The following is a 27923-nucleotide window of genomic DNA, read 5'->3' as shown; positions in this document are numbered from 1 at the left end:
GGTGGAGGCAGAACGTGGTACAACCACTTGGGAAAAACAGTCGGCAATCAAGTTAAATATTCTATCCTTGGCCTCAGCAGTTCTATTCCTAAATATTTACCCAAGCAACATAAAAATAGCTGATCATACAAAGACTCATACCCAAATATCTATGGTGATAAAAGCAGATCAATGGTTGCCTAGGCTGAGTGGATCAGATATTGACTATGAAGGGGCATGAGGAAATAGTGAGGGACGTTTCTTTATCTTGACTGGAGGAGTTGTTACACTGGTGCATACATTTATCAAATCTCATTGAACTATACTCTTAAGATCTACGCATTGCATTTTATGCAAAGAGATTTCAATAAATTTGGTTTGAAGTAACTCGAACCATGCCACACCTCAGGTTCAGGCTCTGCAATGGCTTCTTCCACATTTAAAATTAAGTCCGCCAAGCCCCGTAGGTCCCATCCTATGGGCTCCCTCAAGCCCCGTAGGTCCCATCCGATGGGCTCCCTCAAGCCCCGTAGGTCCCATCCGATGGGCTCCCTCAAGCCCCGTAGGTCCCATCCGATGGGCTCCCTCAAGCCCCGTAGGTCCCATCCGACGGGCTCCCTAGAGCTCAATAAAGAGCTCCATCTTCTGCCTCAACCACGGTCCTCACTCTACCCAGTCATACCGGCCCTCTTTACTTTGTGGATCCTCTCAGAAGATAATCCTTCTCTTGCCACCAAAACTAATGCAGCCCCCGCCCTTCACTGTCCTATCACCTGATTTAAATGATCTGTCTGGTGAGCTCACTGGGTCTTTACTCGCATGCTGGGTCCACAGCTCCACTGTCCTGCAGGGTCCGTGAGTGTGGGCCCCTTATCTATTTCATCATCATAACCCTGCGTGTCCTCAACTCCTGGCACATATTGGGTGGCCCCATCCACACACGGTTGTTGAGTGAATCCATGAGATGACAAAGGCTATGATGTAGACTATATCATGAGCCAGAACCAGGCTTTCCTACCTCCAGACAATCAAGGGCCTTGATTTGGGATTGAGGGAGAAAGGAGTAGAAGCCAGGAAGGAGAAGAGATTGAGGTTTACCAAGGGTGCAAAGTCCTGGCCCCTGACTGTAGGCTGAAAACTATAGAAATGATAGAACAATTTTGCAATGAAATGCAGAAGACCCTGCATCAACTTTAGGTGGGACTTCGGGTATTTTTATGGCCACAGAACATCCTCCCATTTACCTGCATGGCCCAGACACAGACTTCAAAACAGTTGAGGCCAGCAGGCTCCAGGTAAGTGGTAGGATTCCAGAATGCCCTCAGAGTGTTGTGGGAGGCAGCAGGCGATTTTCCTGGACTTCTGAGTTTATGAGAACCCCAAACCCCAATTGGCATTAACATTGAGGTCTCAATGTATCATGGCAGGAAGCTTCCGAGTGGTGAAAAGGAAAGTGAACATCAAAGCTCGGAAGACAAGAGGGTGGAGTGATGGCAACCAAGAGCAAGACCCTTCCCTCTCCTGTGATGGGGTGGCTCTATGTGAAGCCCCCAAACTGGACACAGGTCTGGCAGAATGAGGAACCCACTGAGATTTAGCGCCAACATCCAGCATAAAAGGGAGACTGACATAGAATTTGAGTTAGTTAAAAATAAGGCACAATGCTTTTCATGTATTCCTGAGTTTTGTGGACTGGTGTTCAATTTGCAGCATTCTTAGTTGATTAAATCTGAGATGAAGAAAGAGTGTCCAACACTTTCACCTTGGAAAGCTCTGGAAAAGCAAAAGGGAGAGACAATTAGCTTCATCCATTAACTCACTTAGTCATTATGCATTCATTCATGTAACTACCAAACACGTACTGAGTGCCTAACACTCCTGAGACACTGAGAAGTTTCTTGGGAATACAAAGATGAATAAAAACCACGCCAGGCAGGAGTTGGAGGAAGGTTCTGGATGCCACCACGCTCTACCTCCTGGCTGGACACCAGGCAATGTTGGTAACCTTCTGCCTCCAATTTCTGCAAATACATAATTAATAAACACAAGGTTATCTTCTAAACAGTTCTTAAAATGAGTCAACTTTGTTTAAACTTGTTCTTTTTAGAGAAAAATGTATTTTTGAAAGAGTTGGTTAGTGCTAGGGGAAATGTCTGGGCACAGCTCAGTCTGGTGTGAGAGCAGGAAGCAGCTCTGTGTGTCTGGGGTGGGTACGTATGTAGGACCTGTGGGAGACCAGGTTGGGGGAAGGCCCCTCCTCATCAAGGGCTCCTTTGCTTTGGTTTGCTTTGGCGTGGGAGGTGCTGTGCCACAAGGGAATACGGGAAATAAGATCTCTGCTTGCAAATTATTACTGAACAGGCAGGACACTGCTGACCCATTGAGTCATTGTAGCCCAAAGAGCAATATTGTTTCAATTGCACAGCCTTAATTTTGCTTGTCAGTTGTTGAGACAAATGCTGGATGTTGGCTTACTCAAGTCAACTTTAACCTCTTTCAAACCAGCTCTTCAGCAAGACAGAGCCTGGAAGGTAAAATCTACATTTGCCAGACTCTTTTGTAGCTGGTGCTGCAGGTGACCTCGGTGCTAGCTGAAGTTGACCTTGATGCCAGCAAGCAGACAATCTCCACGTCCTGGAGGGCGGGAGAGAGTGAGGAGAGAGCTGGCATGGGGAGGCCAGCAAGAGCGGAAAGGCCCTGGGATGCTCAGCAGTGGTTGTGGTCCCTAGTGTCCTGAGGGCTGTGACTTGCTAGGGCAGCAGGTGTTGGCACACTCCATAGTATGGCTGAGGGGTTCCTGTGATGGCATTGCCTTGGCTGCATGGTATCCAGGCTTGATTCCCTGGTCTTCCTGGAAATGCTATATGCTACCCAAGGTCCAATAATCAATTCATTTCTGCTTAAATCAGCTCCACTGGATTCTGTTACCTGCAACTAAGAACTGTCTGATAGAGTTGCCAAAACCCGATGTTTGGCTTCTCTTGAAAAACTGAAAATCTTTACAAGCTGCAACGGATTTTCACAAAGCAACAGCTACAAGCCATGTAAAGGTGGCCTTCCTGAGAGAAGCTAAGTGCCGGCCGGTTAGCCACCAATAGGCCCAGTGCATTCATTTCACTGTTGGTCTGATTTCCACTGGCACTTGAGTTTAGGTCTGACCTAAAATCACTCCAACATACAGGGAGCTCTAGACACCAAATCCCATTTTGTTGCTTTATTTTTTTTTCTTTTTGAACCCAAAAGCCTAAATACTCTCTGAAGTATATAACTATTTTTAACAAAACCAAAGTTTTCGCTTTCACTTTTTGTTTGAAACATTAAAAAAAAAAATCAAGCCGGAAAATTAAATAGATGGGTAGAGTAAAAGAAAGATTGATTTGAAATTTTGAAATGCACGAAATATATTTTTCTCCTGATGGGAAATGCCATCATCTGGTTGTGGGCCATTAATATGCTATTCATATACCAGAAGAATATCATGTTAGCAGAAATTAATCCATCAGCTTTTCTATGTGGTGACCAGCACTGTCAGTTTAATAGCCACCAAAAAGCTGATGAAGTGGAACGAGACTAAATAGCAGTGTAAATAGAGAGCTACACGGTAATTCTTCAGATGCCTAAGTAGATTAACCTGCTTATCGATTAGCTGGCTTGTAAATTAATGAGTTATCCCCATTAATTATGTGTGTGTCTTCATAAAAGTCCTCATTGGATTTTCTAGTGATAAAGTGAGCCAAGTAAAGAATAAAATGAGGACGATGCCACATGTAGATCCCTGAATTTATGGGGCAATTTCTCAGGGTGTTTTCTCCCGGGTTATGTGATTGCTCTTTTGCCTTTCCCCGTGCTCAGAGTGCACTGGGAATGTCAAAATTGACTGCCCTACCTGGAAAGTCACTCGGCCTACGGCTCCGCTTCCTCTGACAGCTGCCCCTAACTCTGGTTAACACCTAAATTACCCCTCACATCTTTCTTCAAGACGCCTCCAGTGAAAAGCTTCCCGGACGCCTTCACATGCAGCTGGGTGTCCCCTCGGCAGCTTCCTAAGGTGTCCCCCATACCAATTCCTGCACTGCAATTCCTTGCCCTGCTCCATCTCTTTAGCTGGGCCATGAGCACCTTCAGGTGGAGCCTGTGGTTTTTGGTTCTCTGCTCCCTCATGCCCAGATAGAGCTGGGTACAAGGTGGGACCTCATTGGGTGCCAGTCACGTTGAGGAACCATATTTCTATTGTCAGAAACCCTTGTTATGGGTCCGCCTTAGGATTGCTACTGTGGAGGATGTGATGAGCTTGGGGAAAAATGCATCCTGCAGGTGGGATGCTCCCTGGATCCTCGAAGGTGGCTTCTGTGTCTATAGGCTGGAGAGTGGAGAGAAGGTGCTCCCAGGGTCCCAGCCAGCTATGAAATCCTCTTTTTGGGTGTGCTTCCCCACACTCGGTGTCTGGCCTCAGGGCTGCCTGCCCTTTCTGAACCCCTGCTGCTCCTAGCTGCTGCATGTGGTCCCATCCCTTATTTCTCCATTAGGTGTTTCAATCTCTTTTGGTGACTCATCCAGGGCATCCTCTCTTTCTTGCCCTATATCCTTCGTAAATTTCTTGACATTTCAGATAAGTGGGTTGCACCCTTCTCTGATGTAGATATTTTCCTATTTAGAAAACAACATATATTTTCTTTAAAAATTGGGAAATGAAGGAAGGTAAACATGTGTGATGAGTTCCCCATCTTAAAACAAAACTTTTGGCCTTTAAGCACTCTGTAAATTAAGCTGCCCTGGACCATGTCTGAAAAACTATGAATGATAGTAAGTGAGTCTTTTTGTACACAATTTACAGCTTTACAGCTCACATATTAAGTCCTTTTTGGATGGGCTTAGCCAGGTTTTATTTGCCTTTTCACCACATTTATCTGAACTGGAAGGAGTGGGTAGGAATTGCATGAATTGCCTGGCTGGTAGCACTGACGCTGTCCTCAATATTTGACTGACAGTGGGGTGGAAGGGATGAGTGGGCCATCCTGGCTACATCTCAGCTCTGCCACTGATGATTATGTGAAAATGGCACATCTGCTTTCCTCTCTGAGATTCAGCTCCTTCTCCCTTCACAGTGGGAGAGTGTGCATGAGATGATCACCTGCCAGCTGTGGAATGCCATAGTTCTATGGTGCTCCAGTAAGGGGCAGTAGGCGTGAATTTCTAGACATCTTGTCGAATATGCGAGGACAAAGTGAATGCTTGTGTTCCCCTTTGGAAATGCCAGACTCCAGGAAAGTAGTCAGTGAAAATAGATGCTTGGAGTAGTTGTGTACAAGAGGAAGTGGTGCATATCAAAGTGCCCTTTTCTCTGTTGCCTGAGGGCTGTTTCTCTATGTATGAGGACCATTTATCTTTTATCTTGCCTCCATGTACAGGTAGCAAGATCCACAGAAAACATCATCTGTTGGATTAAAACTCAGAAGGCATCACCACACAAAACAGGGGAATGGGTTCCTGACACATTTTTACTCTCTTTATTTGAAAACCCAATTTGGCTTGAAATTGAACCAGTTTTATATTCTGCTATGAATATGGAGGCTTCAGATTAAAAGAAGCCAACAAATTAATAACTCAACCATTCTTAGGTGAGGAAAATTCTCTGAAAAAAAATAAGGGAGCAGGTTATGACATAGTAGGAGCTCAATAAAAGTTTGATGAATAAAAGAACGAATGAATGAACCAATGCACAAAAAAAGAATGATTTTCCAGTTGTTCAATCAAACGACCAAGAAACGACCTAGCCTGGTTAAGCTGTAATGAGAGGGCATTATCTCTGCAATGCTGATTCTTGTTCTCATAATTTGGCAAGGAGATGGTGGTCCAGAGAAGCTCAGAGACCACCTCACTCTTTGCATGTATGATGTTCACCTGACATGCTTGTAAAACATGATGATGCCCCGTGCCACCCCTGGAGATTCTGTTTGAGTGAGGCTGCCAGAATGCTGTATACCTCTGGTTCTCAAACTTGTCCACTCACTGGTACCACCTAGAAAGCTTGAAAAATGATTATACTTAGTCCCCACAATTAGGGATTCTAATTAAAATGGTATGGGCCATAATGCCTTGGCATAGGGATTTTTAAAACTTCTCTGGGTTACTGTAGTGTGCAGGGGAGTTTGAGAGACACTGCTGTGAGAGTAGCAAGTGTCTCAACTGGTTTTGATAATTGCTTAAGAAGACAGCAGCCCAGAGTTTTGCCTGTCATGAGACACAGTATGCAACGAAGTCTGTGAAGAGATTTTTGATTTGGAACATCTGATGGCATAGATACCTTTACATCCCGTTACCTACAAAATCAAGAAATGGTATATTAAATATGACAAATGTGCTTTTAAATGTACAATTGATTATGCAAGAAAGGAAACAAATTCCCCAAGTGCAATAAGAAACAGAGAGAACGAAAAGGCAGTTTGCATACCTATGCTATGTGACATCTAGGTGTAAGAAAGGGAGGAGGGGTACAATCTCTATAATCTAGGGAAGAGATTCTTAATTCTAGCTATGAATAAGAATTGCCTAGGGAAATATTAAACCACATTAATGCCCCGTCTCATTAAGTATCTGTGTGGATGGGGCTCAGCCATCAGCATTATTTTAAGTTCCCCAACATGATTCTAATATGCAGTCAGGTTGATTTGGGATCTTGGGGTTAATTTCCATATTGAAATCGAAGGAGGCTGATTATCACATTATTCATCATGACTCTGGATGCCCTAGTAATGCAGAAAAACAAGGAAAAGGAATAAAAACTAAAGGACTGGAATACCATTAATTGTAGATGGTGTGATTGTCTACAGAAAACTTTAAAAATTGACAGAAAATCTATGGGAACTAATAAAAAAGTTAAACAAGGCAGACAGGTACAAGAACAATGATGAAAAATTAGTTGTATTCCTAACAATAAAGAATACAATTAGACCATGGCATATTTTAAAAAGATATTCACAACATTAAAAACTGTAGAAGTAGCTAAAAATAAAACTAATGAAAGACAAAGAAGTCCTTTAGAGAGAAAATAATAAAAGGTTAGTAAGGACATAAAATAAGTTTCAACTAGATGATGAGGTGTACCATGTTCATGAACAAAAGACTTAATCTTTTAATTAATTTGACAAATAAAATTCAGCAATTTTCACAGGTCAGGTGGTATTCTGTGAATGAATTTCATACTTAATGGAGCGTATAACATTATGCATAGTATACCTGATGTTAATAAATCATATGGAGAAAAAATAAAGCAAAGTGAGGGAGATGAGAAATGAGAGAGTGGAGGGGATTTCTGTTTTTTATACAAAATTTAGGGATAATGAATCCTGATAATGTGATATTTGAGCAGGAAGTGAGGGCATGAGCCAGGAGGATATTGGAGTAAGTTATTTCAGCCAGGGGAAAAAATGACACCAATGCCCAGAGAAGGTGCATGCTTGGTGTGCTGAGAGATGACAAACTGGTATCTCAGTATGGGTGGAGTGGGGAGTGTGGGTGTGTGTGGTGGGAATGGTGGAATTTGAGGCAAGAGAATTAGGCAGGTGCAGTCAGGCAGCGCTCTGCTGGATACTGTAAGAAGTTTGACTTTTATCACTAGTAGGATGGGAATCTTTGGATAATTCTTAAGCAAGGGAGTGAGATTATCTAACTTAGGCTTTAAATGGCTCACACAGCTTCTGTGTGTCAATAAATTGAAAGAGCACCATGGTGGAAACCATAATACAAGTTTGAGGTTATTGCTATAATCCAAGTGGCAGTCATGGTGGAGGTGGTGAGAACTGAGAACAAATTCTGGATACATTTGAAAGTACAGCCAGTAGGATTTGCTGATCAACTGTATATGGAGTGTGGTGTAGGAGGAAGGGAATGAGGAGTTAGGTCTGGAATCTATAAAGTCTCAGGTGATTATTAAAGTTACTACATTGTTAGTTGTACATGGAATTTTGGAGTTCAGAGGAAGGTGGATGAAGTTTAGGCTGAGCATAAAACTTTATCAGTATATAGATGGTATTTTTAAAAAAGGCTCCGTGAACAGCTCTTCTCAAAGGGTGGTCCCAGGAATAGCAGCATTGATTTGTTAGACAAATTCTTGGGCCTAACCTCCAACCTACTGAATTAGAAGCTTCAGGGATGGGGTCCTACAATCCGTGTTTAACAAGCCATCTATGTGATGTGAAACATGCTGGAATCTGTGAACCTTGCTCTGGTGATTATGCATAGAGAGAGAAGATTGTTGTTCCAACTAAGGAGCCCTGGGACCTGCTCAGGCACTGAGGGCAAGACATGGAGATAAGAAGGAAACCAGCCAAAGAGACTGAAAAGAAGAGCAAGCAAAGTAATACCAGGAAGGTGGGAAATCTCCCCAGATAAAGCACAGATTTAATGCAATCCTAAACAAAATCTCAGAAGTTAACAGAGCTTGACAGCTGATTCTAAAAGTCATATAACAGAGTAAAGGACCAAAGATGGGTAAGACAACTGTGAGAAAGAAGCAGGATTAACCTCAGTAGAAATCCCAACAGCTGTAGAGGATTTGTGCATGAGAGAAGCAGTATCTCAAGTCAATGGGAAAGGATGGACTGTAATAACCGGTGCAGAGACAATTGGCTAGACATATGGAAAAAGATATATTTAGATCCCTACATAACACCATATACAAAAATATATTCCAGATGGATTAAAGTCCTACAGTGGAAGGCAAATGTTTAAAAAGAAAATATAGAATAATATCTTTAACTTATTGGGATAGTAAAGAATTTCTCAAGAAAAAAGTGATAAATTTGAATACAACAAAATTTAAAATATTTGAATGATTAAACTCAGTTTCACAAATTGGGAGAGAGTATCTGGAATATGTATCAGGGATAAAGTTTGATATCCAGAATATTCAGAAAAAAATAATAATTTTTGAAATAATAAGGGGAGAAAAATCTGGCAAAACTATTTTAACAAGAACTCTCTAGAGTAGAAAACCTAAATATGCAATGAACATATGATACAAAAATGCTTGGTCTGGTAAGGATGAAAATGCAAACCAAAACATTAGCATATCATTTTCTACCAGGCTGGCAGAAAAATAATAAGGACAATACCAAGCTGTATTAGATTCCTATTGTTGCAGTAACAAATTGCTGTAAATTTAGTAGCTTAAAACAAACCGAATTTGTTCTCTTACAGTTTTGGAGCTCAGAAGTTGGAAAACAGTCTCGCTGGGCTAAAGTCAAGGTGTTGCACAGCTGGCTCCTTCTGCAGCCTCTCAGGAAGATTCCCTGTTCTTGCCTTTTCTGGCAACTCCAGCTCCATTTCTCACATTCCTTGGCTCATGGCCCTTCCTGCACCTTCAAAGCCAGCAGCCACAGCATCCTCAACTCTCTCTTAGATTCCATCCTCACATCACCTTCTGGTTCTCTGATCTCATGCCTCTTTCTTATAAGGACCCATTTGGATTATCCAGGATAATCTCCCCACTCAAGATTCTTAACTTAATCCCAGCTTCAGAGTCTCTTTTGTCATACAGGCTAGCATTCAGAAGTTCCAGGGATTGGGAATTGGACATCTTGGAAGACATTACTCGGCCAACCACACAAGCTTTGGAAAGGATGGGGCCACTAAGAGCTCCCAGGCCTTAAAATGCAGTACAGGTTCATTTAAGACTAATTTGTCAACACCTCTTGGCAAGTGTTCATCCACTATGGCCCAGAATTTCACTTCCACTTGTCTATCTTGGAGATACTCTCACACGGTCTTGCACAAGAATGTTCCTGGAAGCACCTTTTGAAGTAGCAAAGTAAAAAAAAAAAAGGAAGAAGAAAGTTGACTTTCAGAAATGTCACGGAAAAATAAATAGTGGGTTTATTTACAGCAAGACACTGTGCAGCAGTGAAAATAATATCAACATGTATCAATAATATGTATCAAATGCATTCTAAATGCAAAAAGTATCTTGCAAAAGAAAGAATATTGTTGTACGCAAGTAATATTAAAAACACACAAGAAATGTGGATATTGTTAATGGATGCATACATATGTTGTTAGTCTAATAATCCAAGGAAGGATGAACAAGGATTTCAGAAGTGATTATTTTTAGAGAGAGTGTTAGGGGAGAGAAACCAGAAATCGGGGTTTAGCTTTCTATCCTGTTTCATTAGAATGGTAAAATGATGGCATTTTCTCCTTTAATCTTGGTGATATGGGTTTCTATTATATTGCTTTTTAAACTTTCCTCTAATAGCTTATAAATTCAAAAAATAAAAAATAAAACAGGGGAGCCTGAAGGTCCATTATTGAAAAGTATCCCTTCCTCTAACTGTATCAAGTGGGGGTTCATCTGTGCTAACAATGCTGTTAGAACGCACCGGGCTTATGCTGCACACTGCCCGACAAAACCACTACCTTTCCTCTATTTACAGCACCCAGTTTTTCTTCTGACAAATGAGCCCTTGGCCTGCCTTTCCCAGCCAATTTCTGCATCCCACAACCCATACTTTGGGCCCTAGAGTGGTGAGTCTAGCACAGAATGGCCCAGGATGGAGAATGATTAGTGCAGGCCTATCCTGTGAAGATACTCTGAGGAGTCTGGCCAGAGGTTTCCACCACTAGACGACCAGAACAGCTCTGGTCCCTGACCACTCCTGAGTTTTCACTGTTCCTCTGATTCTCTCGGTTTTAATTTTCTTTTTCATGTAGTTTAGCCACAGTCTGATTGTGTTACTTGTAACCAAAGAGCTCTAATCCCGATCCACTTCCCCGCACCCATGTCTGTGTAGCAGAACCGGATTCCCGTTCCACTTCCCTGCATCACTCTGTGTTTGGAGCCCTCGTCTCCAGCCTCTCTCTGGCACCACTACTGTGCACATCTGCATACCTCCTCTGCAGTGTGTCTTATTCCAACCCTGCTGCAGTGACCAGCTGCTCTCAGGTTTGGAGCAGCTTCTGAACCTTCGTCACTAGTGTGCCTCTTGTTTCATGGCCGTGTGCCATGCCTGCACAGACCTGGGTGTTCACCAGGTGTGAGCTAGAAGTGCTGGGAGACAACACTCAGGGAGCCGCCCTTGAGCAGGTAGGCAGCTGAACAATCAGTGTTTCTCCCCTTAGACTCCTCAGCAAAATGTTGTGAAATGCATTTAGTTAGGTCCCAAACAAGGTTCACTGGGACCTAGGAGGGAGCTGTGGTCACGGCAGTGGCCTTGTGCCCACGTCCCTGGTTCCATCCCTTATCACTCAGTACTGCTCTCTGCATGCCTTCGTCTCCACCCCTGCTTTTGGGGAAACTGAGGCTATAGCACTCACTTTGGGGTTATTTATTTTTACTATGGAAGTTTTCAAACAGACACAATAACACAATAAAGCCTCCTGTGTCCATCACCCCGTGTCAACACTAACATGTGGCCGATCTGGAATCATCTTTAGCTCCTCTTTCCCTTCCCTTTCTCCTGCCACCTCCTCCACTGGGTTATTTAAAAACAAGTCCCTCATATCATTATATTTCACCCCAAATTTTTCAGTCCACACCTCTGAAAAATTAAGCCTCTTTTTCTTAACACAATCTAACAACAATTTCATACCTAACACTGTTAATAAGTTCCAAAATCAAATATTCATTAAATGCTAAAACGTCCTACTGGTCAATGTCTATGTATTTATATTTAATTGGTTTGCACTGGGATCCTAAAACGTCCATAGTGCATTTGGCTGCTCTTTCTCCCATCTCTTTTCATCTGTTGCATCCTCCCTTCTCCCCACTTCAGCTCCTGATGTTTATTTATTGAGGAATCTGGGCCATTTGTCCGGTAGTTTCCTGCATTCTGGATTTTGCAGAGTAAAACCCCATGGTGTCATGTGACATGGTTTCTGTATCCCCTGTATTTCCTGCAAACTGGTTAGCAGGAAACCAGATCTGGAGGCCCGACCGCACTCTGATGCATGTGTGTGTGTGCGTGTGTGAGGAATACGTCCTCCAGAGAATGGTGTTCTCCTTGCAGTGCGTGGCCCAATGTCATCTGGGGAGGTTCAGCTCCACCAAGGTCCACTTTCAGGGAAGGAATCACAGAGTGGGATTTACCTGGAGGCTAACAAAGCTGAAGCCTCAGGGCCGGTGACTTCTGAGGGCTGGAGCTGCTGGGAGCCATAGAACGTCCTGGCTGGGGAGGGAAAGCCAGAATGCAATCGGGACTCATATTCATGATAGCAAGGCCCAACGAATCTTAGAAGAAAGAACCTGAACTCCAAGGGCTACCATAATTTATTGTGACTTATTTTCCAATTTTAAATTAGCATTTATTTTTAAGCCTGTTTTTCTTTTTAAAGAAGGCTCCAAAAGTTGTATTATGAGTTTTAGGTCCCACAAAACCTGGATTTGCCTCTGCTGAAGAGCGGAGGTAGTGGACAGTGTTGCCTACGTTAAGGGGAGTGTATGTGAGTGTGTGTGTGACAGTGTGTGAATGTGTGTATAGGTGTGTGAGATAGTGTGCAAGCGTGTGTGAATGTGTGTATAGGTGTGTGTGACAGTAAGTGCAAATGAGTGTATAGGTGTGTTTGTGTAAGTGTGTGAATGTGTGCATAGGAGTGTGTGAGCGTGGGAATGTGTGTATAGGTGTGTGTGAATGTATGTATAGGGGTGTGTGTGGATGTGTATAGGTGTGAGTGTGCATGAGTGTGTGAATGTGTGTATAAGTGTGTGTGAATATATGTATAGGGATGTGTGTGGATGTATATAGGTGTGAGTGTGCATGTAAGTGTGAATGTATATATAGGTGTGTGTGAATGTGTGTACGTGTGTGTATGTGCATACCTGTGTGTGTGAATGTGTGTATATGTGCGTGCATACAGGTGTGTGTGTGTGAATGTGTGTATAGGTGTGTGTGTATGCATGTTTGAATGAGGGTGTGTGTGTGAGAGAGGGTGTATGTGTATGTGTCTGTGTGTGTGTGTGAGGAAGGCACTGAGGGCCTGGGATCAGGAAGTGGAGTTTGGATGCCAACGATGCCAACTGGGTCTGGGGAAGGAGGGGGCTGGGAAGATGCTGTCCACGGAACAGGACTCAGGGTTCCAGCCCCAGGGCTAGGCTGAGCTTGGCTGTGGCCTGTGTGTGCTTGGCTCCTTCTGTGGTCTCCACTTGATGCCCAGGCTGGCCCTGCTGACCTAGCTGTGGGCTTTCAGAAGAGAAACCCAGGCTCAGGAAGAACAGAGGCTGAGTCTGGCCCACCTAGATAGAGAGAAATAGGTCTAAGACAGCCACCTAAATTTCCAGGTTGCTTGTCGACCTTACAGAGCCCACCACCTGACACAACCTGCAGCCCCTCCACTGTCAGAGTGAGGCAGAGGAGAGGGCAAGACAAGAGAGATGGGCAGGTGCCGGCTCACCCTGTCTCTTCCCAGCAGGGCAGAGCAATATTATTAAGAGGATTTCCTCTCTCAAAGGGCTTTTAGTCATATCCCTCATGACTGCCGAAGTCTGCAGTTAATCTAGGCTGAGTCCCTTGCAGGTTTTAAATGAGGTTGTGTGAAATACCAACGTGTATCCACCAGCACGGGTGTCATTTGCTTCTGAATATATCAGTGTGCACGCACACATCTTCAGAAATAGCCTTTTCATTAACTGCAAGTGCATAGTTTGGTAATTTAGAATAAATTGGCTTCCAGTGTATTGGCATGTTTTGGCAGGAAATTTGAAGTAGTGGGGGATGTCTCTGCTACATGGTATGATGTTCATTACTTAGAACTCATTTTAATGGTTCTTCAGAGGGGTCTGTCTGTGTCAGAAATCTGGCTATAAATAAACATGGGCTTCAGGGGCTTTAGGGGAGAACAAGACCGCCCTTTCCTATGCACCCAGTGGCTGCTAAGGAGCGAAGGAGAGAGTGTGGAAACCGGGTTGAGTGTGGCTTCCTTCATTCTTTTTCACCACCTCCCCAACCCAATGTGCATGGAAGACGCATATGTGCAAGTCTTTGAAGTACAAGGATGAAGGGTACAAAGATCAGTTAGACATGGGTCTTTTTCTGAGGGAGTTTGCATGTAATTCAAATCAATTCCACAGCTATTAATAAGCATGTCTTTTGTGTTAGACTCAGAAGAAACAACTGGTAAACCTAGCCTGGGTTCTCAAAGCTTTCTGTGCAACAGAAGAGGCAGACTGGAAGCTGGAATTTAGAGAGAGTCAGCTGAGTGAAATTCATTCATTCATTCATTCATTCATCAAATACATGCCTATCACATTCCAGAGGCTGTGGTGGGGGTACAGGTGCTTAAGAAACAGATATCTTCATTTAATCTCTACAGGTGTGGGGAGCAGGGGTGATAGGGGAAGCTTCCCGCAAGTTCCTTCTGCCTTGTCCTGGAGAAAATTCTGCTCTCAGGCTCTGAACTCCAACCAAGCTGGGATTCTAGTCCTTGGAAATTATCCTGCTCCTTTCTTTATCCCTACATGTGGTCCCTGTAGGCTGGGTGGGGCTCTTTTCACACCATCCTATCTGACCTACTTGTAGGTCTCCGCTTCCAACTCACCTCCTATGAGAAAACCCAACAGGACTCAACCACCGAGGTTTGCCCAGCGTCACCCATGAGTCATATCATTTGTGCGTCTCATCTGTAGTGCCCATCGCCTTGGCAAATAGCTGTCCAGAGTTTCTTTGTAGACGTCCAGCCTCAGCGGGAAGGCAACTGTGTCTGTCTTGTGTGTTGCTGTATTCCACTGACAGCAAAGGCCTGAAATACAGGAGGCCACCAACACATATTTGTGATATGAATGAATGAATAAGGGAATGGAAGCATGAAGGAATGAATGAAAGCCTGCATGGTGTCATGGTACCCTTAGGGTTCTGGTGTAAGTCTGCCATTTTTGCTTTGCAAAAAATGTAAATGGGGGGCAATGTAGATTAATTATTAAGTTGGCTGACGCAGCAGAAAACGTGAGATGACTTATAAAACAGGCATCCCTGCCCCCTTTTCTGATGCCATCCACTATAGAGACTTGAAGATGGATTATTTATTTTCTTACCTCTCTGCTTTAAAGTCTGACCATATGACAAAGTTCTGGCAAGTAAGAAGTAAGCATAATGCTGCCGTGGACTTCCAGGAGAGTCTTTTCCTCTCTTAAAAAAATGAGCAGACATATTGTTGGCACTGTCCTCCTTCCCTGAATGCTGATACAACGGGTGGAGCTATGGCAGCCCCCTTGTGATGACGTTCAGCAGATGTCGGAAGAGTCCGTGGATGGGAAGGTGATGGCAGTGCATGAAGGTTGAATAAACCTGGTGTTTGATGGCATCCATGAGAAAGTGAACTTAAAGTGACAGCCACCTCTTGATACCTTACTATGTGAAGACACATACTCTTGTTTGTTTTAGCCATTATTTCTTGGGACTTCTGTTACTCACTGCTAAACATGTTTCCAACCAATACTGCTAACTGGGGGAGGGCCCTGGCATTTTATGTTTTAATTCTGAACCACGTTGTAGGTTAACTCAGTACTTGGGTGCTGGGCAGAGATGGATCACTGTGAAGAAGCAGAGAAGGCCTTTAGTCCTGTAATCCGCGGTGCACCTCCTGTGGCCACAGCAACCTCCCTCCAGCAAGCCTGGGAAGGTTATGGTGCTACTGTAATTGCTGTAATTGATGACTTGTCCACGGGCTTCACGGCTGCTCCCTTTTATAACCCTTCTTAGAAAAGCCTACAGCTTTTATTCGGCTGCGGCAAAACACAGACAACTTTGATGAAGCTTCTCTGCCTGGATCCTGGACATTGTGCGTGTCTGTGCATGAGGGGAGAGAGAACCACTTCCCTTCACTGCTGGCGCGCTGCACCACAAGAAACTCACCTTAATGCCTCAAGCTTCTCAAACTCATGGGGCTGTGCCAAGCCCCCTCCCTGCTGCACATCTGAAGATCCCGGCCCTGTGTTCTGCAGGATGCCCCGGCTCCTGCTGAAGGACCCCTGACTGCATCCTCACACTCGCCGTAGAGCTGCTCAAGGCACCGTTTGCACAGGCTCCAGGCTCTGACTTTCACTTTGTGCAAAGTGCATGTTTTTGTTGAAAATATCCCATAATCCCCAGGTATGAATGGCGATACTGGCTCCCACAGAAGCCCCTAGAAGCTACAGTCCTGTTTATTCATTTCTACTTTCAGCAAATATTTAGTGAGCCTGACTACGGGGCCAGGCGTTGTGCTATGTGCCCTGCACAACAGGGAGGAAACTAGCTCTCGCCCTCATAACTGTGATGGGGGAGATGGATGCTAATCACAAATTCACATGCATAAGTGTAGAATTGTTAACTAAAACAAATGCCACAGGGAGGGGGTTTTGAGGGCCCATAAAAAGAGGGTATACTCCTCAGAAAGGTCAGGGACAGAAAGGTCTCTGAGGAAGGAGCATTGAAGCTGAGATCTCAGTCAGGGTTCCCGGCTTCAGTGCTTTTGGCATTGGGCTGGATCATTCTCTGTAGTGGGGAGGTGGGTGGAGGGAAGGAGCTGCGTTCTGCTCACTGTAGGGTGTTGTGTGCTTTCTGTAATTATTTCCTTAAAAGTTTTGTTGCTAGCATGAGATATTCTTTGGCAAACATAAGCCTTTCTCAATTGTCCTCAACTGGGGAAACAGGAGAGGCTTATTTTGCCTAAGATCCAGCCAGCAATAAAAAAATAAAGAACATCTCTCTGGTAGGGTGAATGGTGGCTGCTATTCACCCTGAAGGAGAAGCAGAAATATAGGGCTCCTCTCTGTTTGTGTGTTTTGTGTATCAGTTTTTACCTGTGATGAAAGTAGCTGCTTCCTCACCATCGCCATGACTCGCCATAAAGTACCTGTAGACTCCAGCCTCCAGGTGCCCCAGTGATCCTCAATTCCTGATAGTCACACTCTTGTGTAATTTCCTTCCACATGGTACCAGGGTTGGTCTGCGAGACCAAAAGAACACAGAAGAGGTGCTTCTTCATTCCTGATATTGGGTTATGAAAGACACGGTGGTTTCTAGCTTGGTCTTTCTTTCTTCTTCTTGGGTCATTCCTTCTAGGGAGGCCCTGTTGGCAGCAGCCCCACGGAGAGGCCCAAGGGTGAAAAAATGAGGCCTCCGGGCCACAGCCATGAGTATGATCCCAAATGCAGAGCTTCCATCCCTAGTCCAGTCTTCAGATGACGGCAGCCTTGGCTCACATCTACAGTGCAACCTCATGAGAGGCCCTGAGCCTGAAATACCCGACTAAGCTGCTTCATGATTCCTGATCCACAGAAGCTGCAAAAATGGTATTTGTTGTTTTAAGCCAATACATTTTACAATAACTTGTTACACAGCAATAGAGAGTAAATTCAGTGTTCGTGTGCATTCAGTGAATGGCAAAATCCAGAGAAACATATGGAGGGACCTAGACCACATGGAAAGAATAAATTCTGGATTTTTCATTCATGTGTCCATCTATTTGAGCACATCAGTACAGTTAGAAAGTTTTTCAAAGGTAAAACCCAGTTTTATTTTTCCTAATTAACTTTAAAGCATCCCAAAGAAGTGATCACAGTCTTGGTGATAGGTTCTGAGAATATTTGAGGGATGGATTTTATGTGGAGTCAGTGAATGACGAGTTAACTTGAAATATCCAAAACATCACTGCCAAGGCCAATGTCATAGAGTTTTTCTTGTGTGTTTTCCTTTAGGACTTTTATGGTTTCAGGTGTTACATTTAGGTCTTTAGTCCATCTTGAGTTGATTTTTGTGCATGTTGGAAGAGAAGGGTCCAATTTCCTTTTTTTTTTTTTTTTTCTTTTTTTAGCATGTGGATATACAGTTTTCTCAAGGTCATTTATTGGAGAGGCCATCCTTTCCTCATTATGATTCTTTGGTGCCTTTGTGGAAAACTAGTTGACCATGTATGGTTGGGCTTATTTCTGGGCTATCTGTTTTGTTCCATTTGTCTACGTATTTGTTTTTATGCCAGTACCTTAGTGTTTTGATTACCATAGTTTTGTAGTATAATTTGACCTAAGAGCTGTGATGTCTCCAGCTTTTCTTTTAAATCTTTTTTCTCAAGCTTGCTTTGGCTATTCAGGGTCTTCTGTGGTTCCGTATGAATTTTAGAGTTTTTTTTTTCTAGTCCTGTAAAGAAAATTTTGATAAGGATTGCATTAAATCTGTAGATTGCTTTGGGTAGTATGGACATTTTAACTATATGAATTCTTCCAGTCCATTAACACTGGACATCTGTTTATTTATTCGTGTCTTCTTCAATTTATTTCATCGATGTTTTATAGTTCTCAGTGTACAAATATTTCACTTCCTTGGTTAAATTTATTTCTAAGTATTTTATGCTTTCTGATGTTATCATAAATGGGATTACTTTCTCGATTTTCTTTTCAGATAGGTCATTATTAATGTAAAAAAATGCAATTGATTTTTGTATGTTGATTTTGTATCCTGCAATATTACTGAATTCACTTCTTATTTCTAACAGCGGTGTGTGGGTGTGTATCTGTGTGTGTGTGCATGCACATGCATATGCACGTGCATACACACTTGTGTGTGGGTGTGGGTGGTCTTTAGGGTTTTCTACATATAGAATGAAGTCATCTGCAAATAGAGATAATTTTACTTCTTCCTTTCCAATTTAGTTTCCTTATATTTCTTTTTCTTGTCTGTCCTTGCTAGCACTTACAGTACTAACAAAAAACAAAAATAAACAGATGGGACTATATCAAACTTAAAAGCTTCTTCACAACAAAGGAAACAATCAACAAAATTAAAGGCAGGTTACAGATTGTGAGAAAATATTTGTGAGCCATCTATCTGATGAGGAGTTGCTATCCAAATTGTATAAGGAACTGCTACAACTTAATACCAAAAAACCCCAAAACCTCCTTAAAAGTGAGCAACAGACCTATATAGACATTTCTCCAAAGAATACATACGAGCGGCCTACAGGCTTACAAAAAGGTGCTCAACATCAGAGAAACATCAGAAAACATCAGAGACATGCAAATCAAAACTACAATAAGATATCACCTCACAACTGTTCGAATGCCTATTATCAAAAAGACAAGAAATGATGAGTGTTGGTGATGGTCTGGAGAAAAGGAGCCACCATCCACTGTTGGTGGGAATGTAAATTGATGCAGACATCATGGAAAACAGTATGGAGTTTCCTCAAAAAATTAAAACTAGAGCTAAATACCTTACGGTCCAGCAATCCCTCCTCGAGATATGCATCCAGAGGCAATGAAATCAGCACCATATGAAGGTATCTGTGCTCCCATGCTCACAGCAGCATCATGGACAATAGCCAAGATATGAAAACAACCTAAGTAAATGGATAAATTGCTGTGTGTGTGTGCGTGTGTGTGTGTAATGGAATACTATTCAGCCTTAGAAAAGAAGATCCTGCCATTTGCGACAACATAGGTGAAACTGTAGGACATTATGCCAACTGAAATAAGCCAGGCACAAAAAGAAAAAATATTGCAGGAAACTCAGTTATAAGTGGAGTCTAAAAAAAGTCAAATACATAGAAACAGAAAGTAAAATGATGGTTACCAGAGTTAGGATGGGGGGAAAATGGGAAGATGTAGGTCATGGGTACAAAGTTGCAGTCATATATGATGAATAAGTCTAGATCTCTAATATCCAGCATGATGACTGCAGTTAATAATATCGTGTTTTACTGGAAATTTGGTAAGAGAATAGATTTTAGATGCTCTTACCTGTCTCTTACACACACAAGTAACTATAAGAGATGATGGCTTTGTTAATTTGCTTCACCATGATAATAATTTCATTAAATGTATAGTAACATATATCTAGTGAGATATATATACACATATATTTACATATATGTATATCTCAAAACGTCATGTTTACCATAAATATATACAATAAAAAAAGAAATTTCTACCATGAAAAGCATTTCATATGGAACATTCACAGCACTGAAAAAGTAGTTGAAATTAAAACAAAAAAATTCTTTTAAAAAAGATTTTACTTGTGCTTCTATTTTCAAAGGACACTTGTATGAAGTGAACAAATCGTGTCCTTTTGTGCAACCTTTTCCCCACTCCCATGATCTTTAGGCCTTTGTGATGAGGAATCTGAGATGGGAATTGATTCACATTCTTACAGGTTGACCTGGCTTCGTATTTTTATTCCAAAGAGTTAAATAAAAGTCAATTGGATCCCTTTTTTCTTAGACAAAAATTTGCCCCATTGATTATATGAAAGATTAATATAAAGAAAAGTATGGAGAATGTCAAAAAGACCCATGGACCTGAAACCACAACTTAGCAAATACTAATTTTTTTTCATTTCCCTTCAGATATTTTTAAAGAAATAGAATGGTACAGAGAGAAAATAATTCTTTATGGAAAACGTCTCAGATCTGTGCCCATTCTACTTTCCACCTCTCAAATTTGGTGATATCCTTTGATTCATGTTTTCATATTTCTACTACACATGCATGTGACCAGTAATGATACATAGTATTATCCTGTGTTTTTAAAAAATTGTAATTTGATCATGTTTCATATACCCTTCCAAAACATGTTACTTTCACTCACCACTATACCGTTATGTTTTTGAGATTTATGAATTTAGACGTATTTAGCTCTAATTTATTCATTTTATCTGCTGCATATTATTCCATCAATGGTGAAACTATATGTGTGTGTTTGTGTGTATATGCTAGTGAAGACTAAAATAGTTCTAATTTTTCTTTATCCCTAAAATACTGCCCTGTCACAGTAACATGTGGCTCTTACTTACTTGTGTTTCGAAGGAAAGGATGTGCACTCTTTTCATAGCAGCAATCATAAACCTCAGTGTAAATTCCCTTTCAATGAAGTTCATTTCCAAGGCTGCCATTGAAGCCATGATGTTTCTTCGTATCACAGGCCCAGCAGGTACAGCAAGGAACTGGTTGAAACCAGGAGCTCCTGGTAGATCACACTCTGGGTTTTCCATTTTCTAGAAGCTGTTTTGTTGACTGCTTAAAAAAATACCAAAACACAACAAAACCCACCAAAAAAAAAAATGGGCAGTGTTTCTAGAAGTGGAAGAAAGTAAAAATCTCTCCAGGTGAACTCCAGGCTCACCCACCTTCTCCAAATGCCAGGATCTCTTGAAGCTTCCCATGCTGTGGGCTCCCTCCCTCCCTGTGCCACTCCCAGGGTGACATTTGAATATAAAACCAATGATAAGGTAAGAGGGGGCTGGAAAGGGCCGGGCGCGGTAGCTCACGCCTGTAATCCCAGCACTTTGGGAGGCCGAGGCGGGCGGATCACGAGGTCAGGAAATTGAGACCATCCTGGCGAACACAGTGAAACCCCGTCTCTACTAAAAATACAAAAAAATTAGCTGGGCGTGGTGGCGGGCGCCTATAGTCCCAGCTACTCAGGAGTCTGAGGCAGGAGAATGGTGTGAACCACGGAGGTGGAGCTTGCAATGAGCCGAGATTGTGCCGCTGCACTCCAGCCTGGGCGACAGAGCAAGACTCCGTCTCAAAAAAAAAAAAAAAAAAGGTGGCTGGAAAGTTTGGTGATCAGAGTCCTGCAATCTCCAGCCACAATTCATTTCTATACACTGAAAATCGTTTGCTCAGCATGTAAACATTTCTGAATGGCGGGGTGTGCAGAGAGCCACTGGGATTTAATGAATTATGTAGCAGCATGCATTTTCTTTCACCAGAATTAGTGTTTATTAACCAGTTTCCTAAATAATAAATAATATTTTTAGAATCTTGGGGAAAAATTAACTGGCAAAACTATCTTTATCATTGAGAATGACTTCTCACTTTTGTCAAGATGCTGAAAAATGTTACAAAGATGATGCACTGACTTTTAGTAAATTATTTTTCAACTTACCTTATCCAAAATATGAATGTTCCAGTGTGCGAGCTGCAGGGATTTGATGGCTCTGAACTGAAGCCAAGGAGCGAGAACAATGGACAGCCATAGCCACAGCCTCTGCAGGCCTTAGAGATGAAGCTGCCAAGTCCCTGGGAGGACTTGGGAGAAAGAGGCCCCTAGAAGGATGTGCTGTGAGTTTCTGAGCCATGTGGTCATTAGGAAATGATCAATTCGGAGTGGTTGGAAAAAGCCAGGCACACGGCATAGACCTGTGATATGAAAAGGGGTACAGAATTTAATCCTTGGTCAAATCCACACACAATGAAAACTCTTTCTATAATACAAATTAATTTCTAAACTCTACATTTTTTTTTTTTTTGAGACAGAATCTTGCTCTGTTGCCAGGCTGGAGTGCAGTGGCACAATCCCAGCTCACTGCAACCTCCACCTCCTGGGTTCAAGTGATTCCCCTGCTTCAGCCTCCCGAGTAGCTGGGATTACAGGCACGCGCCACCACTCCCAGCTAATTTTTTTATTTTATTAGAGACGGGGGTTTCACCATGTTGAACAGGGTGGTCTTGATCTCCTGACCTTGTAATCTGCCTGCCTTGGCCTCCCAAAGTGCTGGGATTATAGGCATGAGCCACTGCACCCGGCCTAACCCTACATTTTTTAACCAACATTGTTAAGACTCTGGGCCAACCAACAAGAGGTGAGGATCTTTACCCTGTTGTCAGGAGTCTTGCTGCCACCTGGGGCCCCATGAGGCTTAATGTGTGACATATACAAGAAGAAACTGGAAGAGATCAGTGTTCTTACTGTCCCTCACGGAGAGCTTTCATATGGAAAGATAGCTCTCTCTCCTGACTTACATGTTGTTAACATTTCTTAATATTTTCTGATGAAATTATAGGCTTTTTGGTACCAACATTTCTGAAATATTAGTAAGAAAAGAAAGTTTTTAAGAGAGGGAACTGTTGAGCCGGTTCTTAGTTCTCATCAACACTGCAAACTCCACTAGGAAACCGTGAGTCTGTCCAGTTCTGTTTTTCACAGAGGCCCTTCCCATCCTGTCCTTCCTAAATGTGGAGCCAGCAGAGCCATCTTCACAGAAACCTGGCAGATCTCTCTCAAGTTGCCACAGCCTTCTGACCCCATCTTCCTGCCTGACTGATACATGGACTCTCAATCCTAGAGACCAGGAAGGTGCTGTCCAAAGGCCACGCCCCAGCATCAGGTGTGGGAGGCTCTCCTTGTCCTATTGGAGGAGATGGGCCCAGAGGGACAGCGAAATCTGTGCACGTTGCCAGGTGTACTCAGACCTTCAGTAGCTTGATTTTCCTGTGCATGTTTTTACCCATCTGCACCAGGATGTGGCATTTCAGAAACTGATTTCTAGGTCCAAAACCAATGGTGAGTGGGAAACAAAGCACAGCCATGTCTCACTGGGGGACAGGGACCACTGAGGCAGAAGATGCTATTTGCTCAACTCAGCACTCATGTGCAACACGACGGCACAAGTTGTGGGGCCACGAGATGTGAGCCATGAAGATGTGAGCCACAGCTGAGATGTGAGCCATGAAGACAGCACATGCCACGTGGATGGTTGCGCTGGTCTGAGGTCTGCACAGCATCTCAGCTTGCTATGCTTGGGACTATGAGCAACAAGAATCTTGCTTCGTTAATCAAAAGTCTTCACCCAAGTGAGCTTCATTTATTCACCTAAGGAGTCTGGAGGGAGGCAGCGGGTGTGGTCCCAGGGCTCCGCAGTGTCCAGCTGCACTACCAGTGGTTCTGGTGGCCTTTCCATCAAGGGATCACGCTGTCACCACGGCATGGTGTCTGCCCCTCAGACCTGCAAAGGGGAGGAAGGACAGTGCTGGCCCATTATCAGGAAAGAAGTGAGATGTCCCAGGGCAGAATTCCTTTGACACTTCCTGCTGGAATGAGGCCACGTAGGGCTGTGGCTGCCTGAGGGCCTTGGAAAGCCAGAATGGACTTTTCCTGTGTGAAAGCAGAGCCAGGCCTGCTGGGTGGTTAGGGAGCTGTTTGAAAAGGAGAAGGAGGAAGGCAAATGCACATTCGCCCTTTTTACTGGCTCCTACACGTGGCCTCCTGAGCCCTGAGCGACCTTTCGCTGAGCAGAGTGTCCTCATAGCATTGGGTCTGCATCTGGCGCAAAATAGAGCTGGCCACTGGTGCTTCACGTGGGAGGGAATAGGAGAGAAAGGGGACCTGGCAAGGGTCCAGGGACACGGGTGTGGGAAGAACACACACCGTACACGCTCATGCTTCCTGCCTGTATCGGGACAACAAATCTCAAATTTCTCCTTGCTGTGCACAGTGAGCAGAGCTGGGCGTGGCCACGGTGAGCTGTGGTCATGGCCAATGAACTGCTACGCTTCCAATTCAATACCCAAATTTACAGGGCCTGGGAGATGCACCCAAAATGTGTGTCATGTCTTCGTTTCGTCCTAGCATTCCATCAACCTCTTCTTCTGATAATGCTCGAGTCAATACAATCCCATTAGCACAAAGACCTTTTATTAAGCTTGACAGTTTACAAATTGCTGGGGTTTTCATATCCAATATCATCAGGTTACTAGGGTCCTGAGCTGCACCAGTCCAGGCTAGAGAGACTTTGAATAATGGGGATGTGATAGTTTTGAATTGTTCCTTCTTCCTCATTAAATGAGATGATAAACTGGTTGGAAGCGCTCAGGAAATCTCAGAAAACCTTGAAACTGGAGCCTAGTGGTAGCTGCACCTCCAGATGGAGGCTCAGTCTTGCCCCTGTGGGTCAAAATGCAGAATCGGAGACCTGGTTTTATGCAAATGCAGCTCTCACCTTTGCTGAAAATGACAGACAGCACTGAAAGTCTAGCCTTTTGAAAAATGAGACGCTAACATGGTGCCCCAAAGAGTCCCTACACTCCTGAAGCCTAAGCCATTGTCATTTGCACATGGGGAAGTCAGGGTTGAGAAACCCGCTCCTCACCTGCAAGCGGCCTCCAACACTAACAAGCTGTGAGACCGCCAAAAAGACACTTAACCTCTCTGAGCCCTAGTTACTCCGAGTGTGAAATGAAGGGATTAGGGGGCAGCTGAAGACCTTTCCAGCAACAAACATCCATGATTCAGGGTCGGTTCCCAGCTGGTCTCAGAGGGAGAAGACAAGCCAGAGAAGGCCTTCCCTGTACACAGACGAGGTGTGAAATATCAAATCAATCACACAGAGAAAGGACTGCGATTACAAGAAGAAAGTTCCAGCCTGGTGTCTGTGAGGCTTCCATTACTTTTTAGCACTGGATAATTCTTCCTTTTAACCAGGAGCCTAGGGGCTTCAGGCTCAGAGGCTTCTTCAAGTCACCTCATGGAGCTGGGATTTCATCGTATCAATAGCTCTTGTCCACTGTATTTAGTTTTACATTTACTTTCTCCTCATGGCAAAGGGATACTAACTGCTTTGCCACTTAAGGTAATGGTATATAATCTCTTTTTGACATCACTTATTTTAGAATATGAATGTGATTTGCTTAAAGAAAACACAAATTAAGTAAGTGGCTGAAATTTGGTGAGTTGTCTTTATTTTCTTTCTTCTTTGTTTTAAAAAAATGTGAACAGAAATGCAAAATGTGTGGAGAGGTCCTCCCTTTTTATCATGGAAACAATTCATTTGGAAATTCAGCCACTTCCTCTACCTAGAGCCTGGAGTGACAAAGAAGTCAACGGGGAAAGATTCTGAATGCGGGAGAGGAGGGGCTGACACGCAGAGTGAGAAATAAATAATATCATGTGTAAGGAACTTAGTAGCTGAAGAATAAGCCTCAAACTTAGAGAGAATAAAAGACCATATAAAGGAAAGGGTCCAAAGAGTAGAATGATGGAAAATTTAATAATAAAAGTAAATGGACAGGCAGGGAAAGGTGCCTGACGAAGGAGGATCTGGAGAAATACCGAGAGTGGATACTGGGGGTGCTCACGCTTCTAAAGATGCACCCAAGCTGCTTTCCTGTCTTTGAATTAAGCAACATACCCCGCACCTCACACCCCACGGTTGTCACGAGAGAGTGTGGGGGCGGCCTTTACACTATGGGAGGATGCATTGGATTCAAGCTAGGAAGGGTGGTTTGACTGCGGTAAGGCCTCCTTCTTCCCTTCTGTTAAATATTATTTTAAAAATATGTTGTTCTACTTACGCTAAGCAGCCATCTGCTCACCGGAGAACCCCCAGTCTTGAGACAGTCAGACAGGCAACCCAGGGCATGAGGCAGAGCGGTGTGGGAGAGGAGGTGGGAGCCCTGACTGTGGAGGTCCCCAGGGGCCTCCCCCATCTCAGGATGCCTTCACCAGCCCTGCAGACTCCAAAGGCAAATTATCTGGACAGGTGGTCTGTTCTCTTTCTCGTCGTCTCCTGTGATTTGGGAACAGAAGAAGGAATGTGTGGGAGAGCTTGCAAACGGGAAAGGACTGTAATGCGTCGAGCACTGCAGTACTTTTCCCTTTGGGGAAATCTCCTTTGGCACCGATGCTGGGTAAAATAACCAAGCAGAGGCCTCGGGAGAAAACTACACGCCCAAGAAATAAATCATGGCCTTGCTGCTTTCACACTGATCACACTGCTTCCTTTAGTCCCTGTAGTACCCCCAGAACCCTTGTGGTGGAGTTTCTGTCCCGCTCACAACCATCCCGTCTACGAGGAATTCCTTCCCGTTCCAAACACAGGCCTGCCCCTTGCAATCATGGGAGGATGGCATCGGCCCTCCCATTAGCAATTGCTGATTGGACCACTGTGGATGACTGACTCTCACTCGTCCAATCAGGTTGGAGTTAGCCTCTGCAAGGGGCTTAACCTGGAAATAATTTTACTTCTTAGGCCAGAGGCTGCCATGTTGGCTCAGCCGTCACCAGTTACGTGGAAAGAGAGCATAGAGAAAGGAGGAGAAGGAGACAGGAGATGAACACTGAAGCAGAGGAACAGAAACACCTATGGAGGCATCCAGAGAAATGGTGGTAGGTGTGCACCCCCTGACACACTCAAACCACAAAAGGACAGAGATAAGCACTCAGACTCACAGCAAGGGATGGAGAGATGAAGAGACAGGGACAGAGACATGGAGCAGGACTTCCAGCAAAATTGACCAGAAACCGTGGGACCTTCTTGTCAGCAGAACATCTCGCTTGCTCCCACCCTGCCCTTGTCCAGGGCACACCCTGTCCTTGGCTTTGGTAAGATTCTCCTTCATCTTTTCAATAAATACACCCTTTTATTTCTTCAACTACTTTGAGTGAGTTTCTTTCACTTTTGTCCAAAAAATCTTTGGCTCTGTCAATAGAGCCATCCATGGGGGTGGCAGAGGTGCCTCTGAATTAGCTCACCCTGCCATTCCCTTGCAGAGAGGCCTGGACATGTCCCTTGAATCTGTTCCCAGAGCATGTTAGAATCACAGGTTCAGAGGACGCCTTGCATGGCCTTGCTCCAGCCTCCAGGCTCCCAAAGCTTCGGCCTGATGGAGGTGAGTCTCACGGCTGCGGCATTTACATCTTTGCAGTCCCAGTCAGGGAGAGTTTGGCTACTTAGTTCTTACAACAAGAGAGAGCTGAGAAGTGTCCAGAAAAGATGCCCAGCTTTTCTCTAGAGAGATCCAAACCTGATCAAGTGGTAACTCAGGGTTAAAATGTCCCTTTAAAATGAACGAATGTATTGCGAAGTTGAAGCCGAATACGGAATGTTGACGCTGCATTAACCGACAAGACTCACTCCACCCGTCTCAGTGCTGTCTCTGCTGGCTTGGCTTGTGGGTCATCTCCTGTCCTGGCAATTTCTTGGAAGGTAATGGATTCTACTGACTCCTCCCTCCTAGACTAGCATGCTTCCAGATTCGCCCCACAAGTCCTCCATCTCAGTAAAAACACACCATCCACCAGTTGCTTAAGCCAAAAGCCTCTCTCTCCGCCACTGCTCATATCCCACCCAATGGCACGTCCTGGCAGCTCCATCTTCAGCTTTTTCAAACAAGTGTCCACCTCTGCCCATCTCCTCACCTGTGGCCCAGATTCCAATTTGTTTCTCTCCAGTTCAAGCTATACATTGTTTCTCGATAGA

General features: G+C 43.8%; 1 long non-coding RNA gene across 9 annotated transcripts, besides 1 other annotated feature; it reads right to left on the bottom strand.

Moving 5' to 3' along the window:
* Positions 1 to 1362: 1362 nt before the first annotated feature.
* Positions 1363 to 26561, bottom strand: LOC105372699 (uncharacterized). Of its 9 annotated transcripts, XR_007067694.1 has the most exons (9): positions 26017 to 26511; positions 23540 to 23672; positions 21833 to 22086; positions 20736 to 20955; positions 14999 to 18083; positions 14506 to 14706; positions 9176 to 9771; positions 1842 to 2000; positions 1363 to 1752 (listed from the first exon to the last, which is right to left on the bottom strand). It is a non-coding gene; the product is annotated as an uncharacterized LOC105372699 (long non-coding RNA). The 9 variants fall into 9 exon arrangements; XR_936945.4 differs by lacking the exons at positions 14999 to 18083; positions 20736 to 20955; XR_007067695.1 differs by lacking the exons at positions 1363 to 1752; positions 1842 to 2000; positions 9176 to 9771 and adding an exon at positions 12060 to 12140.
* Positions 1677 to 1846: an enhancer, noted in NCBI's record as "experimental_60829 CRE fragment used in MPRA reporter constructs". NCBI's record gives its function as "activates a minimal promoter by MPRAs in K562 erythroleukemia cells, with activity observed for both the introgressed and non-introgressed 20:59350288 variant alleles {active_cell/tissue: K562}" and the evidence as "EXISTENCE:reporter gene assay evidence [ECO:0000049][PMID:34662402]".
* Positions 26562 to 27923: the final 1362 nt, after the last annotated feature.

The sequence above is a fragment of the Homo sapiens genome, chromosome 20, assembly GCF_000001405.40.
Source record: "Homo sapiens chromosome 20, GRCh38.p14 Primary Assembly".
Lineage (NCBI taxonomy): Eukaryota > Metazoa > Chordata > Mammalia > Primates > Hominidae > Homo > Homo sapiens.
The sequence above is the reverse complement of the archived record's forward strand: the minus strand, read 5'-3'. Positions and strand labels throughout refer to the sequence as shown.